Genomic DNA, 13,672 nt, shown 5'->3' with positions numbered 1-13,672 from the left:
ATCCTCTTTTATTAATGGTATCTCTGCCGTGAGTATTCCATGTAACCAAGTTGACCGGGTTGAGTATATATTTATCATACTTTCTGACTGATAGAAAAAAAGTCTGTACTTTCACTTTTTGGAAATACGAAACTTTCAGTTATTAAGAATACATAGTAGATAATTATTAGATTTGAATTATATGCATTCTTTTTTTTCTATTTTTTTAAAGACAAGGTCTCACTCTGTTGTTGAGGCTGGAGTGCAGTGGCATGGTCATAGGTCACTGCAGTCTTGAACTCTTGGGCTCAACTTTTTTTTAAATTAAAGTTACTAAAGTAAAAGCCTGTCCCAGGCTTTCACTATGTTTTTTTCCTATTTCAGTATGTTGCCCGGGCTGGTTTCAAACTCCGGGCTTCAGGTGATCCTCTCACCTCGGCCTCCCAAAATGCTAGGACTAGAGGCACGAGCCATGGCACCTGGACTGCATGCTGGTCTTTCAAGAGATACCTTAACATTTAAAAATTCAATGGCTTTGTCACATAAATGTTCAGAGAGTATTCATGACACATAGTTTAAAAAATCTTATTTAACCTAAATATGCCCTCTCTATTGTGATTGCTTTTCTTTCTGCTTTCTTTTCTACATAACCATCCTTCTAGGTCTAGGTTGAATTAGTATTTCATCATACGTGAAGCCTTTCTTGAGCTAACACCCCTATTCTCTTGTGTTGTGTGCTTTTGAGTAAATTTGTTTGACAAAACTGGAACTCTCATTAAGGGATTTCACATATTTGTGAAATGGGTTCTTTGGATTCCAAGACATTTTTTATATTCTTTGATTCCTTTAAATATTTTATTATTAATGATTTTAAATTATATTTAAATATAAAGGACATATTTTGACACGTGTGTGTGTGTGTATATATATACACACACACACACACATATATATATATATACACACATACACATATTTTTTCCCCACAGAACATATATATATTTCCTCTGTGGAAAGGATATCCTGTTGATACACAAAGGAAGTTATCTTATGATTGGCATTGTTTTTTTCTCATAGGTTTTTCTTTGTAAAATTCCTGTAACATGCTGTGCGTGTCAAGTTTGCCTTGACACTATTTCCCTACCACCCCAATACTGTGTCACTTACTTCAGGCTTTCATTCTTGTTCACTTGTATTATAGCAGTAGACTTTTAGTTTATCTCTCTGATTTCAATATTTTTTCCTATTTCAGTATGTTCTCCAGATATTATCAGTGTTGTCTTTTGGAAAATAGATTAGATCATATCAATCTTCTAAAAGACCTAACGGATCCCTGTTTTCGAAAGTAGTACATTAAACCTAAGGGTCAAGGCTCTTCACATTCTTTTTTCTAGTCTGTCTTTTCAGCTTTATCTCCTACTGCTGTTCTTTTCCCTTCTTCCTGGTGTCTGCCAATCCTTCATTATGGCTATACTACCAAGTATGTGAAAACATGATGTACAGTTGTATGTTTCCATTACTTTATATAGCTGCCCCTCTGTCTCAATTGCTTTTCTTTCTCCTTCCTTTTCTACATAGTTACCCTTCTAGGTCCAGGTTGAATTAATATTTCATCATATGTGAAGCCTTTCTATGAGCTAACACCCTGTTCTTGTCCCTATTGAAATTAGTTCTATTTAGCAAACTTTTATTCTATGTAGTTAGTTCATTTCAGCCATGAAGTAGTCATTACATTGCATTGAAGTTCATTATAAACATATCTGTCTCTCCTGGTGTAAATTATTAACTCTGTGAGGACAGGGGTTACATCTTTTTCACATCATTCAGTTCCTAGAATAGAATTTGAGTTCAGCAGGTTTAAATGATATCATCTGTTATGTTTGCATTCAGAAGGGCATTTATTGAGTGTTTGGTCACTCAGGTCAAGTGTTTGTAGAGCACCTGCTTTGGACTTAATTTTGAGTAAGGTAGGAAAGTACAAAAATGAATATTACTTGATTCCTAACCTTAGGAAACTTTATCTGGTTGTGAAGGCAACATTAACACACCTGAAATAATTTATATGCAACTGTATGAACGTAATTCTGATTTGAGTAGTACTTAGCTAAGTAAATGCTTAGTTCAAAGGCAGATGAGAACAATGGAGAGGAACTTTTCATTGAGAACCCAAATTGAGTCTTGGTAGGTAAGTTTTAGATAGTTGAGGGATGGCACATTTTGGCTAGACTGTTGAAGGGAAGTGCTTTAAATGCTAGGGTAAAGAGTTTATATTTTATCTTGTAAGTAACAGTAAGCAGAATGAAGGAGACGATTTAGGAAATAATCTGGCAGGGGGATGAAAGAGAGATTGAAGAGGGAAATAATTAATGGCAGGGAAATCACTCATGAAATGGTTTCAGTAATCTAGGACTGAGATTATGAGGGCCAGAACTAGGTAGGAATGGAAATGAACAGGTGATATGAAAAACAGATCAGAAGAAAAATTTAGTGACTAGTTGAATATTGATAGTGGAAGAGGGGAAGGATATCAAAGGTGATTCTGAAGTTAAGAATTTGAAGACTGGGAATATTGTTATTCTCCTCTCCAACATGTGGAACCAGTTTCAAGGGAAAAGATGAATGATTCTTTTCAATAAAAGGGTGTTAGAAAATACAGGTAGAATTTTCAACTGACCTTTGTAAATAGGGGACTAGAGATTAAATGACAAGGGAAGTCTAAATTTTTGGAGTTGGGATCATCCTCAGAAGGTATCATTGGAACTGAGATTAGTGCTGCATTTCTTTAAACATTAAGGGAAATTATATCTAATATCTATAATTTTGTGATATAAATTCACAGTGCCCCTACTTTGTGTGATCTTTACAAACATAGTTTGTGACTTATAACCATGTGTTGTATACTACTTAGTAAAGTTCATTTGCACATTTGGCCTTGTTCATGTCACTGATATCAAAAGAATTGTTCACCTGAAGCATTCTGTTATTAGGAAAGCAGTTGATTTCAGAAGTATGTTTTAGAACTTGTTAAGTGTATTCTTCTACTGAATTATTTTCAAACTGAAATGACTTTTTTTTATGTGTGGTAGTTGGAGGAAATGTGGACTGGAAACAGATAGCAAGTATTCAGGAATCCATTGGAGAAACCAGTTCTCAGAGTGTTGTTGTTGCTGTAGATAGGTAAGGTATTCATTTTATTCCCTTTTCAGATGATTACTATTTCAGTTCTTTAGCATTTAGGTGTTGGTAAAAAGAAAAATATTATTGCCAAAATCATTTTTCTAAAGTAATATAAAATTATATTGTGATATGCTGTGATTTAGATGATGAAGTACCTATAATTTTGCTTTTTGGATCATAGAATATAAGAAGATGATAAACAGTATGAAAATTTAAGTTACAATAGATACTAATGGGCATTAAGGAAATGGTAACCTCGATGGAAAAGAATACAAATGTTTTATTTTCTCGTAGAAAACTTATTCCCCTTATTATCCCTATTTGAAAATGTTGTGTAGTTTATTTTTCTGGGTCCACAATATAGACTGCATTATGGATGAAATGAAAGGTTTTATTGGCAATTCCCATTATAAACTTTTTTGGAAAGGACTTCAGAATTTATATATTATACACATCACCACATATTCCCCATTTTTAGTTTGTTTTCTAAAAGAAAACCCATGGTATGCTTTATTTACTACAGAATATTTCCAATTTTAAAATGTCCAGCACATAGAACAATGTCTCCTATTGTTACTTGAAGTTTAGCTTTTTCTAGATAAATGCCCCCAAAAGTGAAACATTTTACAATAATGTTTTTTCTTTTTCTTCCTCCCACCCCCTACTTGTGATGGAAACTTTCAAAAACATAATTTGTACAAATCTTTCCTTGATAGTCTGGAAACTCATGCTGATCCATTATTTTACTTTGCTTCAGATAAAACTTTTTGCTCTAAGTACAGGTAGAACTAGAATGTTCAGTGGCCACTGACCCTGGAAGTACTCCATGGAACTTTTTCCTTGAATTCTTAATGTCTACTTGCTGTTGTTTTTTGTGTTTTGTTTTTTTTTAAGAGGAGAGTCATTTGCCTATTTTTTTGTGAAGACTGAAGAAAGATTATCTCATACCTACTGTATAACAAACATGAAGGCTTGCCACAGATGAGGCACTTGCAAAACGCTTTACATTTAATCCTTTCAGTAGCCTCATGAGATGGGTATTCTTGTCCTCAATTTACAATGAGGAAACTGAGACAGAAAAAGATTAAATAACTTGCTCATTCCCACAACTAGGCTTGTGTAATAAGCATGCATACTTAACCTCTCCACCTTTCAGCCTGCATGTACTACTGCAGAGCTATGTAATAGCCCTTCTGCTACCGGGCTAGCTTTCTTGTCAATGATTTTCTTGCCTTCCAGAAAAATCATCTTCACTGTCATTTTGAGAATCTATTCAGGCATGATTTAACATTTTACCTACTGTTTCTGCTTTTATAATGTACTTTATATGACCACATCCAGTTCTAATTTATCTTCCTATCCACTGTTTGTTACAGAGGGACATGTTACTCATTTGAAATTACCTCTCTGTTTTAAGAATTTATGCTATTTCAGAGGAGATTTAGCATAAATTTTGTTAGTACTGTGTCATCACAATCTTGTCATCGCCAGATACTTCTAAAAACATAAATCCAATATCAAATTTTATACAAAACCTCAGTATTGCAAGTTTTTGCTTATAGTGAAAACACCGAAAGTTATATATTTGATCTCTTATAATGTTGTATTATTCTTAAGTGGTACATTTCACTTTCCCATTAAATGTTTTTTGAATATCTGAGTTTATTTTCATATCGTTATGTTCAAACTTTGGTCCATTACCCAACTCAGTGGTAGTCAAGACAGTAGTGAAAATAGTGTCAGGCATCAATCTGGGGAGTTCTGTACTTACCCAGCAGACAGTCATTTTCCTGTCCTTAGGCCTATTTTTCTGCATAACCTGTTATTACAAGTACAGGAACTAAAGAAAAAAATTTTTGTATGTTTAGTTCTTTATAGCTTCTGGTTTATTAACCAACAGAGAAGAGAATAAGATTTTATTACAGACTTTAAGGTGATAAAATTTTCTAATTATCTACTTTTGTATTAGGAATCTTGTATTATTAGAATATAGGAGAAGAATATTGGGCCCTTCAATCTGGGAATAACTGATCCTCTAGCATTTGCTAGGATAGAATTTTTTATGTGTTGTTAAATTAGACCAATTTCATAATGAATATTACTAAACTATGCAGGAGATAGACTTTATCCATGAATGGTTTATTTTTAATAGCTAAAAAACAATTATTTAGCATCATAGTTTTTCTCTTTATGGTTTTTTTATACATACCAGATCTAGCTATAAACTGGCTCACCTCAGACTTTGGAATATTTCACCTATCAGAAAATACATACAGCTTATCCCAACTTCCTTTGCTCATAAATACTTTTCATTTAGGCCTAAGAAATAAATGTTACCTCTGATATATTCATTGTGAAAAAACCTTTTACAGGTATAATAATATAGGCTGCTTGTGTATTGCATACAGTTTAAAAATTGATTTGATCCAGAATCTGCAAAAGTTTTGCAAACCATTTTTTGTTTTTGCATCTGTATTATAATGTGATTAAGCAGTAATCTTACCAATGTTTTTTTCTAATGCTTTTTAAAAAGCACATGATTTTTAATATTCACAAACAAGGTTCTTGTGCTTCTGTCCTTTGCTTTTCTATGGAAAATGTAGAAACCATTTCATAGGCTGATTTTATGAAACACAGCTCTGTTCTCTTGCCTTAATGTTAAGGCTTGACTTTAAATGCCCCCACAGACTGCTGTGCTCTACCATACGGCTTATCTTTAGTGGAGCATTACTAGAAATAGAGTGACCCCCTCAGAGACTATGGCAGTGAGTAGGAATTGGGATGCCCTTTCTCAGAATGGATGCTCCCCCAACCTTCCACCATCACAACAGTCCACAGGACCTGTCTTATTGCTGATGATAGTTCTCTCTCCTGTTGCCTTTGTTCTCCGTTATGTCAACACCTTCAGAATCTATTGCTTCCCTTCCCTGTGGTTCTATCTCTGCTTTTGTTCTTTCTTTACCCCTCTACTGTTTGCCATTTGCTTTCTTCTCAGTTAAAAACTCTTTTTTTCTTTGTTTTTGTTTGTGTGCCTTTTCTTGTTCTCCTATACTATTTACTTTTGACTGTATTCATGGTGTGGCTTGTTTACAGCCATTGCCTTCCATGAGAATACCTCTAGTTTGAGAAATCAGCTGACCAAATTCGTAGTCTGGCAGTTTTCATTTTTGTTTTGCGAGAGCTCTGTAGACGTTGTATATCTTTAATTTCTGGGTCCAGTCTAATCCCTGGATTAAGAGGGGCCATATTACTTTTGATTTTTCCCTCAGATTGTGTTTTCTGCCAGATTTTGGAATTACTGCTTCATTCTGCTGACGAACGATATAGAAAATCTTAAGACATTTCTTTAGCAGGACTTCACATTCTGAGTCATCATGTTACCCGTTTCTAAACTGTTTTTCCTATATTGTTTTTTACTCATTGTCAGGACACATAGACATGCAAGGACACTAGGGTTAAAAAATCATGATATACTCAGAACATTTAGATTGTGATAGTAGGAAAAAAGGGTTGAATATACCTTTTGCTCAGGTAAGTGTGAGGCAGTATAGAAAAGTGGTTAATAGGATAGACTGTAATCACCCTGTCCTGGTTTGAATCTTGGCTCTAGCACTTACTAGTTCTGTGACTTAGAGGAAGTTATTAAATATCTTTGTGCCTCAGTTTCTGTGTTTATAAAATTGGGGATTTAATAGTACATGCTTCATAAGGAATTTGTGATTATCAAATGAGTGAATATTGATATTACACTAGAAAAGAACCCATCTTGTGATTGGTAGCTATTACTGTTACTGCTATGACTACTGTGACCTGCTCCTGCCTTTAAAGTTTTCCTTTTTATCATGCAAATCCTATTTTGTGCATTCTAAGTTGAGGAATGTCATCCTTCTTGAAAGTGACGTCAAACTCTTGGTTGCAAACCCAGAATATGGGTTAAAATGCAGACTTTAAAAAAGGAGGACTAATGTGTTTATGCTGAAATTTTTTATGAAACTTTGAAACAAAAAAAGAGCTCAGCAAAGAAGAATGGGCAAAGCTGGGCAGTGTTAGCTTAACTCCAAACATTTGAATGCCCTAAGGAAAGTGGTTTGGCCAATTCTTGGGTAAACTGAGACTATTTGCAAGGTTATATTAAGTCACTTTTAGTGTAAATGAACTTTCTAATCAAATATACTTTACTGGTAAAAATACGTCAAATTTTTCATTTTAAGAACTTGCTTAATGCTAGACAATAATCAGGAAAGAATCTGTAGTGTGCCAATTATTAGTTTTACAAATTAATATTTTTCTTATTCTTAGAATCTCATATCTATCCGGGGTTTGTAAATCTGATAAAATTACAGCAGTATATACTTACCCTAATAATAATATTGAATGTAAACTGGTTCACATGGAGTAGAGGTGGAGGGGAGGGAGAAACATCCAGACTACACTTGTTACTAAACTAAATGATGAAAAATACTCATTTGAATACCCAATTTTTTGTTCCCTTAAAACATAAAAATAGCTAGTACCCCATGCCACATACTTTTCAATTGGAATAAGAACAGTAACTTATAAATTTTTTAAATTGTGTTTTATTTTCCCTAGAATATTCACAGGATCTACAAGGCTAGATGGAAATGCCATTGGTAAGTATGGGCATTTATTCTACTTCGGAACTGGCTTGGGGCTAAAATAACTTTAATGTTGAGCTAAAAAAAAAATGTATTTATATTACAGTGGATTTTGTCCGTTGGCTCTGTGCTGTGTCTATGGATGAATTACTTTCCACGACACACCCAAGAATGTTTAGTCTACAAAAAATAGTAGAAATATCATATTACAACATGGGAAGAATAAGATTACAGTGGTCTCGAATTTGGGAAGTTATTGGAGATCATTTTAATAAGGTATTTGAATAACTATGGTGTTTGTTTACATTTGTAGTATATTTTTTGTTTAGAATGTCCTTGTAATCAAATTGAGCCTTTTTCCCTTCCAAGCAATTATTTATTACTTTTTAATATTAAATTAGAAAACCCTGTGAATGGTGTTTTTCTTTTTAGAAATGATTGCTCTGGGCTTTAAGAATTTGATTTAAAATATCTGTTTTTCTTGTTGAGAAATAGTTTTAGCATACTTAATGCCTTTATGGAAAATCTTAGGATTTACCTATCTATGCTATTCTATACTTTTTCTAAAACAAAAAATAAAGAATTGTAGATTTTTACTGCTGATATTAATTAGCATCGTTTATTTCTGTCGCCATTACAGGTTGGGTGTAATCCTAATGAAGATGTAGCTATTTTTGCAGTAGACTCCTTGAGGCAGTTGTCAATGAAGTTCTTAGAGAAAGGGGAGCTTGCTAACTTCAGATTCCAGAAGGATTTCTTAAGACCTTTTGAACATATAATGAAACGGAACAGGTACTATATTTGTTGAATTGCTTAATAGAAGGAAAATCTTGTTGTTTTCCACAGCAGGGAGAAAAACAGAAGAAAGGGGGAAAAACTGATGAGTTTTATCGGTTTGCATATCCAAGCAATTATATTAATATTTTTAGGTCTCCAACAATTCGAGATATGGTTGTACGGTGTATAGCACAGATGGTTAATTCTCAAGCTGCTAACATTCGATCTGGATGGAAGAACATTTTCTCTGTATTTCATCTAGCTGCATCTGATCAAGATGAAAGCATAGTGGAACTTGCATTCCAAACAACCGGGCACATTGTCAGTGAGTATTCTCTTAGCTGTGTTCAAGTAAAAGGAAAAAAAAAAAGCAACCTTAACGTGTTCAGAAGATGATTCAAGTAACAATAAGATTATGGCCTTTAAGTTTACCAAGCTTTGTCTACAGAACCAGAGTAAATAAAAACAATTAAATTACTATTATAGTTAACATTTATTGAGTATTTACCATATGGCAAATACTGTGTGCACTTTTCACGTAATTTCTTTAATCTTCACAGTTAAACATTATTGTCCATCCCTTTTTTCAAAATAGATTAGGAAACTCAGCCCCAGAAAGGTTAAGCAGTCTATGTAAGGTCACAGAACTAGTGATGGAGATGGTCTTGAGACCCATGGAGTATTAAAGCAAAGCCTTTATTTTTGACCAGTAAGTACATTGCACAGCCTTCTTCAAGGAGGAGTCCCCTTAAGTTCAAGGGGGACTGACTGAAATACTAAGATTATAAGTTAAGCCTATATGGAAGATGACAATGATGACCATCAACATCAAGAATCATGGCATCATCATAGCTATCATTTATTGCGTGCTTGCTTAAGTATTACACTAAGCACTTCACTTATATTATTTTACGTAGTGCTTACAGCTATCTGTGTATATTATTATTATTTCCATTTTATATCAAGAAACCGAGATACAGAGAGGTTAAGTAATTTTGTATATTCATTCAACCAAAGTTGAATCAGTACCTACCGTGTACCAGTCACTGTATTAGGTGCTATGTTTATAATGTAAACAAAACAGACAAGTTTTACTATTCTCACCACTCAGGGCAGTCAGTTAAGTGGTAAAGATAGTCTTGAACTTCGTATCTGTTGGATGTCAGAACCTGTAACAACCTTTAAGAGGAAGTGCATTACATCTAGATGTTGGTGTATTTTTGGTACAGCTAAGAATAATTGAAAAATTATAGTAATATATATTTTTCTCTATTTTAGCCCTTGTATTTGAAAAACACTTTCCAGCGACCATTGATTCTTTCCAGGATGCAGTGAAGTGTTTGTCTGAATTTGCGTGCAATGCAGCTTTCCCAGACACAAGTATGGAAGCAATTCGACTTATTCGCCATTGTGCAAAATATGTGTCTGATAGACCTCAGGTATAGCGTCATTTAGTAAACAAAATTTTGCAGAGTATTCTTTCCAATTTGAAATCTTAAGTTTGTTTGGGAATTGAGGGTATATGAAGCATTTATTTTTCAGTAATTTGAAAAATAATCTGAGCAGCCTGATTCCAAGTTAGGATGGTTAGTGATTATAACTAACCATTATTGAAAGTGTCAGGTATTTTTCTGAGTGTTTTTCATTAACTTGTATTAACTTGTTTAATCTTCTAATGGCTTTATGGGGTAGATAGTGTTATAGCCCCATACAGACAAAGAAACTGAGGCACAGAGAAATTTTAAAATGTGCCCATAGTTTCAGGGCTAGTAAAGTAGAACTAGGGTTTGAGCCCCAGCCTGTGTTTCTAACCATTCCCTACAGTGCATCTTGTCTGTCTGTGCTGTGTAATACTGAAGCTGACTGACTATGGATGAGAATAGGCTTAAGCTCTAAAGTAAAAGGTTGAATTGAAAATCTAGCTGCCATATTTAACTTGTATATTTGAATCTATCTTTGTAACTGTCATAAGAGAAAGTGATGTATCGTAGATTTGGTAATAAGATTTTATTCCGTACTACCATGGACCGATCAGGTGCTTGGTACTTTTTAGATACGTCAACTCATTTCACCTTCATACTTCACCAGTGTGGTTAATGTGGCTGTCTGGTATCATAACCATTTAAGTGATAAAAATGGAAACCTGAATTAACCTGGCTAATAATGCAGAAAGCTGGTGACAGTTGAAAGTGAAGCTAACTTTTGGATTCTAGTCCAGAGCTCTTTATAGGCAGTTATGTTTTGCCTATTTCAGTGGCACATATACTAAAATTGTAGGCAGTTATAGTGTCCATTTTTTATAAATTATTTTTTATTAAATTGCTCACTGGTTATTTGTGAAGCATTTAAATTATTTTTTGAGAAGTTAGTATACTGAATGTATGGGTGTTATGTTTTGCCTTTAATAACCCTACCTTTTTTCTTGAAGGCTTTCAAGGAATACACAAGCGATGATATGAACGTAGCACCTGAAGACAGGGTGTGGGTGAGAGGATGGTTCCCAATTCTCTTTGAGTTATCCTGTATCATCAATAGATGCAAATTAGATGTAAGAACCAGGTAACAATCTATATTTGTAATTAAAATTTTGGATTTATTTTGACTTTAATCAAATTAACTCTTCTTTATAAACACAATCTCACAGTTAAAGACCATAAAATCAAGTGTTTTGTCAAATATATTAATTATTAGGTATATTTTAAAATATGTTAATATGATTTAAAAATATTAACTAGAGCAAAATAAAAATGGAAATACTACATTATTTTTAAAATATTTGATTATAGCCTCCATTTGATTTTAGCTTCTAAGTTAATTTAATCCTTTAAACATTCCGTCTTTTCATATATTTGTTTCCAATAATAAGTTGAAGTTAGTGGCAAAATTTATTTTATTTCCTGATGAATGATAGAAGAATTTTTAACTGCACATCCTTGCTGGGTTTTAGGTGAAGAACCATTTCTTTTTGTAACCTGGTCAGTAACATAGTTTGGAATAATATAGAGCTATTCAAATAGAACTCTTTCAAAAGTATATTGCCAATAAAAGATCATTATGAACATATAGTCAATCTGTAAAGGAACTATTATGGGTATTATGTAACTGGCCAAATGCTAACACACTGTTCTTAGGTCACGGCTCACATGATTCCCATAGTAGTTTTTTTACCCTGTACTTTGCCACATTGAAATGGCCAGCTTGTGTGTCCTAATATCTGTCAACCTCTAAACCCACCGTGAGTTCAATTTTATGGTAAACAAAATCTTTTAGGAATCTTTCCATCTTATTTGGAAGAATCTTCTGTTATTTGGATGTGTAACTTTATCGAATTTTTTGAATTTCTAAAGGTAGCACAGAATGAATCTCTCTTTTCTCACCTTATGCCAGAACCACCCCCATCCCCCACCAAGGTTAAATTTGACTTATATCCCAAGAAATTTTTCATTTTTATAGTATTATTTGTTACAACAGAAATTCGTATGAAATAGATAATCAAAATAGGACTTAACCCTTAGGGATTTTAATTATGAGAGCACTATAGAAAAACATTTTATTTTATATTTAGACATGGTGGATTGTTTATCAGTGGACCTGTTAGGAACTTGTTAAAATTCAAGATAGCCCCATTTCAGCTGTCCACCTGCCTCAGTGGAGCGGCTGACATATCATGACTAGCAGGTCATGAAAACTCAGCACCCTCTCCCCTCACCCTTTATTTATTTGTAGAAGTCTGTTTGATGGAGGATCCACCTGCTTTCTTAGCCTTCTGTTGCTTGGCACTGTGATACCTTATTTCTCACCATATTCCATGTTCAGATTATGGGTAGATTCCAGTTGTTAAAGAGGTTGTGTGTGTTCTAGTTAGTAAAGGAGAGAGAAAAGATCAGTAAACTTTGTTCAGTGATGGCCTTTGATTTTCCTACCTCATCCCAGGATATGTATGGGTTGCTATTTAGCTTCCATCTTAAAATGTGGGCCGGATGCCATGGCTCACATCTGTAATCCCAGCACTTTGGGATGTCAAGGTGGGAGGATTGTTTGAAACCAACCTAGGCAACATAGTGAGACCCCATCTCTTTGAACAAAAAGTTAACTAGGCATGGTGGTCATGCCTCTAGTTCCTGCTGCTCATGAGGCTGAGGCGGGATTGCCTAAGCACAGGAGGTTGGGGCTATGGTGAGCCCTGATCACACCACTGTACTCCAGCCTAGGCAACAAATTGAGACTCTCTGTCTTTAACAACAACAAATAGTGCAGCACTATAATTGGTATAACACTGTGTAGAAAGAATTTCTTGTGTGCATTCTTACTTAATTCTTCCAAAATTCTCTAGATTTGGGGATAAATACCGAAAATTAAAGTCCCAAATATAGTCAGGCATCATTTAATGACAGGAGTATGTTCTCTGCAATGCATTAGTAGGCAATTTCAGCATTGTGTGAACATCATAGCATGTACTTACACAAATCTAGATGGCATAGCCTATTGCTCCTTGGGTACAACCTGCACAGCATGTTACTGTACTGTAGGCAGCTGTTAATACGGTGGTGTTTGTGTATCTAAACATATCTAAACAGGCTGGGTGCAGTGGCTCACGCCTGTAATCTCAGCATTTTGGGAGGCCAAGGTGGGCAGATCACCTGATGTCAGGAGTTTGAGACCAGCCTGGCCAACCTGGTGAAACCCCATCTCTACTAAAAATACAAAAATTTGGCCAGGCATGGTGGCCATACCTATAATCCCAGCACTTTGGGAGGCCCAGGTGGGCGGATCATCTGAGGTCAGGAGTTCAAGACCATCCTGGACAACGTGGTGAAACCCCTTCTCTACTAAAAATACAAAAATTAGCGAGGCGTGGTGGTGCGCACCTGTAATCGCAGCTACTTAGGAGGCTGAGGCAGGAGAATCGCTTGAACCTGGGAGGTAGAGGTTGCAGTGAGCTGAGAGTGCCACTCTACTCCAGCCCAGGCAACAGAGTGAGACTCTGTCTCAAAATAAAAATAAAAATTAAAAAATACAAATACAAAAATTAGCCGGGTGTGGTGGTGCACACCTGTAATCCCAGCTACTTGGGAAGGTGAGGCATGAGAATTGTTTGAACCCAGGAGGCGGAGGTTGCAGTG

At 34.8% G+C, this 13,672-nt stretch overlaps 1 protein-coding gene across 17 annotated transcripts in view; it reads left to right on the top strand.

Annotated features, from left to right (window-relative positions):
• ARFGEF1 (ARF guanine nucleotide exchange factor 1) overlaps positions 1-13,672 on the top strand; it is a 170,271-nt gene that overhangs the window by 107,771 nt on the left and 48,828 nt on the right. For 16 of the 17 annotated variants that reach the window (NR_182117.1, NM_001413186.1, NM_001413187.1 and 13 more), the window contains 7 exons: positions 3,066-3,156; positions 7,747-7,787; positions 7,879-8,048; positions 8,413-8,564; positions 8,702-8,874; positions 9,828-9,988; positions 10,978-11,108. Coding sequence is in view for 16 of the 17 variants with exons in the window: in NM_001413186.1 (NP_001400115.1) it covers positions 3,066-3,156; positions 7,747-7,787; positions 7,879-8,048; positions 8,413-8,564; positions 8,702-8,874; positions 9,828-9,988; positions 10,978-11,108 (919 nt within the window). In the remaining variant the exon portion in view is untranslated. Of the gene's footprint in view, positions 1-3,065; positions 3,157-7,746; positions 7,788-7,878; positions 8,049-8,412; positions 8,565-8,701; positions 8,875-9,827; positions 9,989-10,977; positions 11,323-13,672 lie in introns of those variants that run through there. The other variant, NM_001413195.1, reaches the window with a different exon arrangement.

This window comes from Homo sapiens, chromosome 8 (assembly GCF_000001405.40).
Source record: "Homo sapiens chromosome 8, GRCh38.p14 Primary Assembly".
Taxonomy (NCBI): domain Eukaryota; kingdom Metazoa; phylum Chordata; class Mammalia; order Primates; family Hominidae; genus Homo; species Homo sapiens.
Note: the sequence above shows the minus strand (reverse complement) of the source record. Positions and strands in the feature narration are given on the sequence as shown.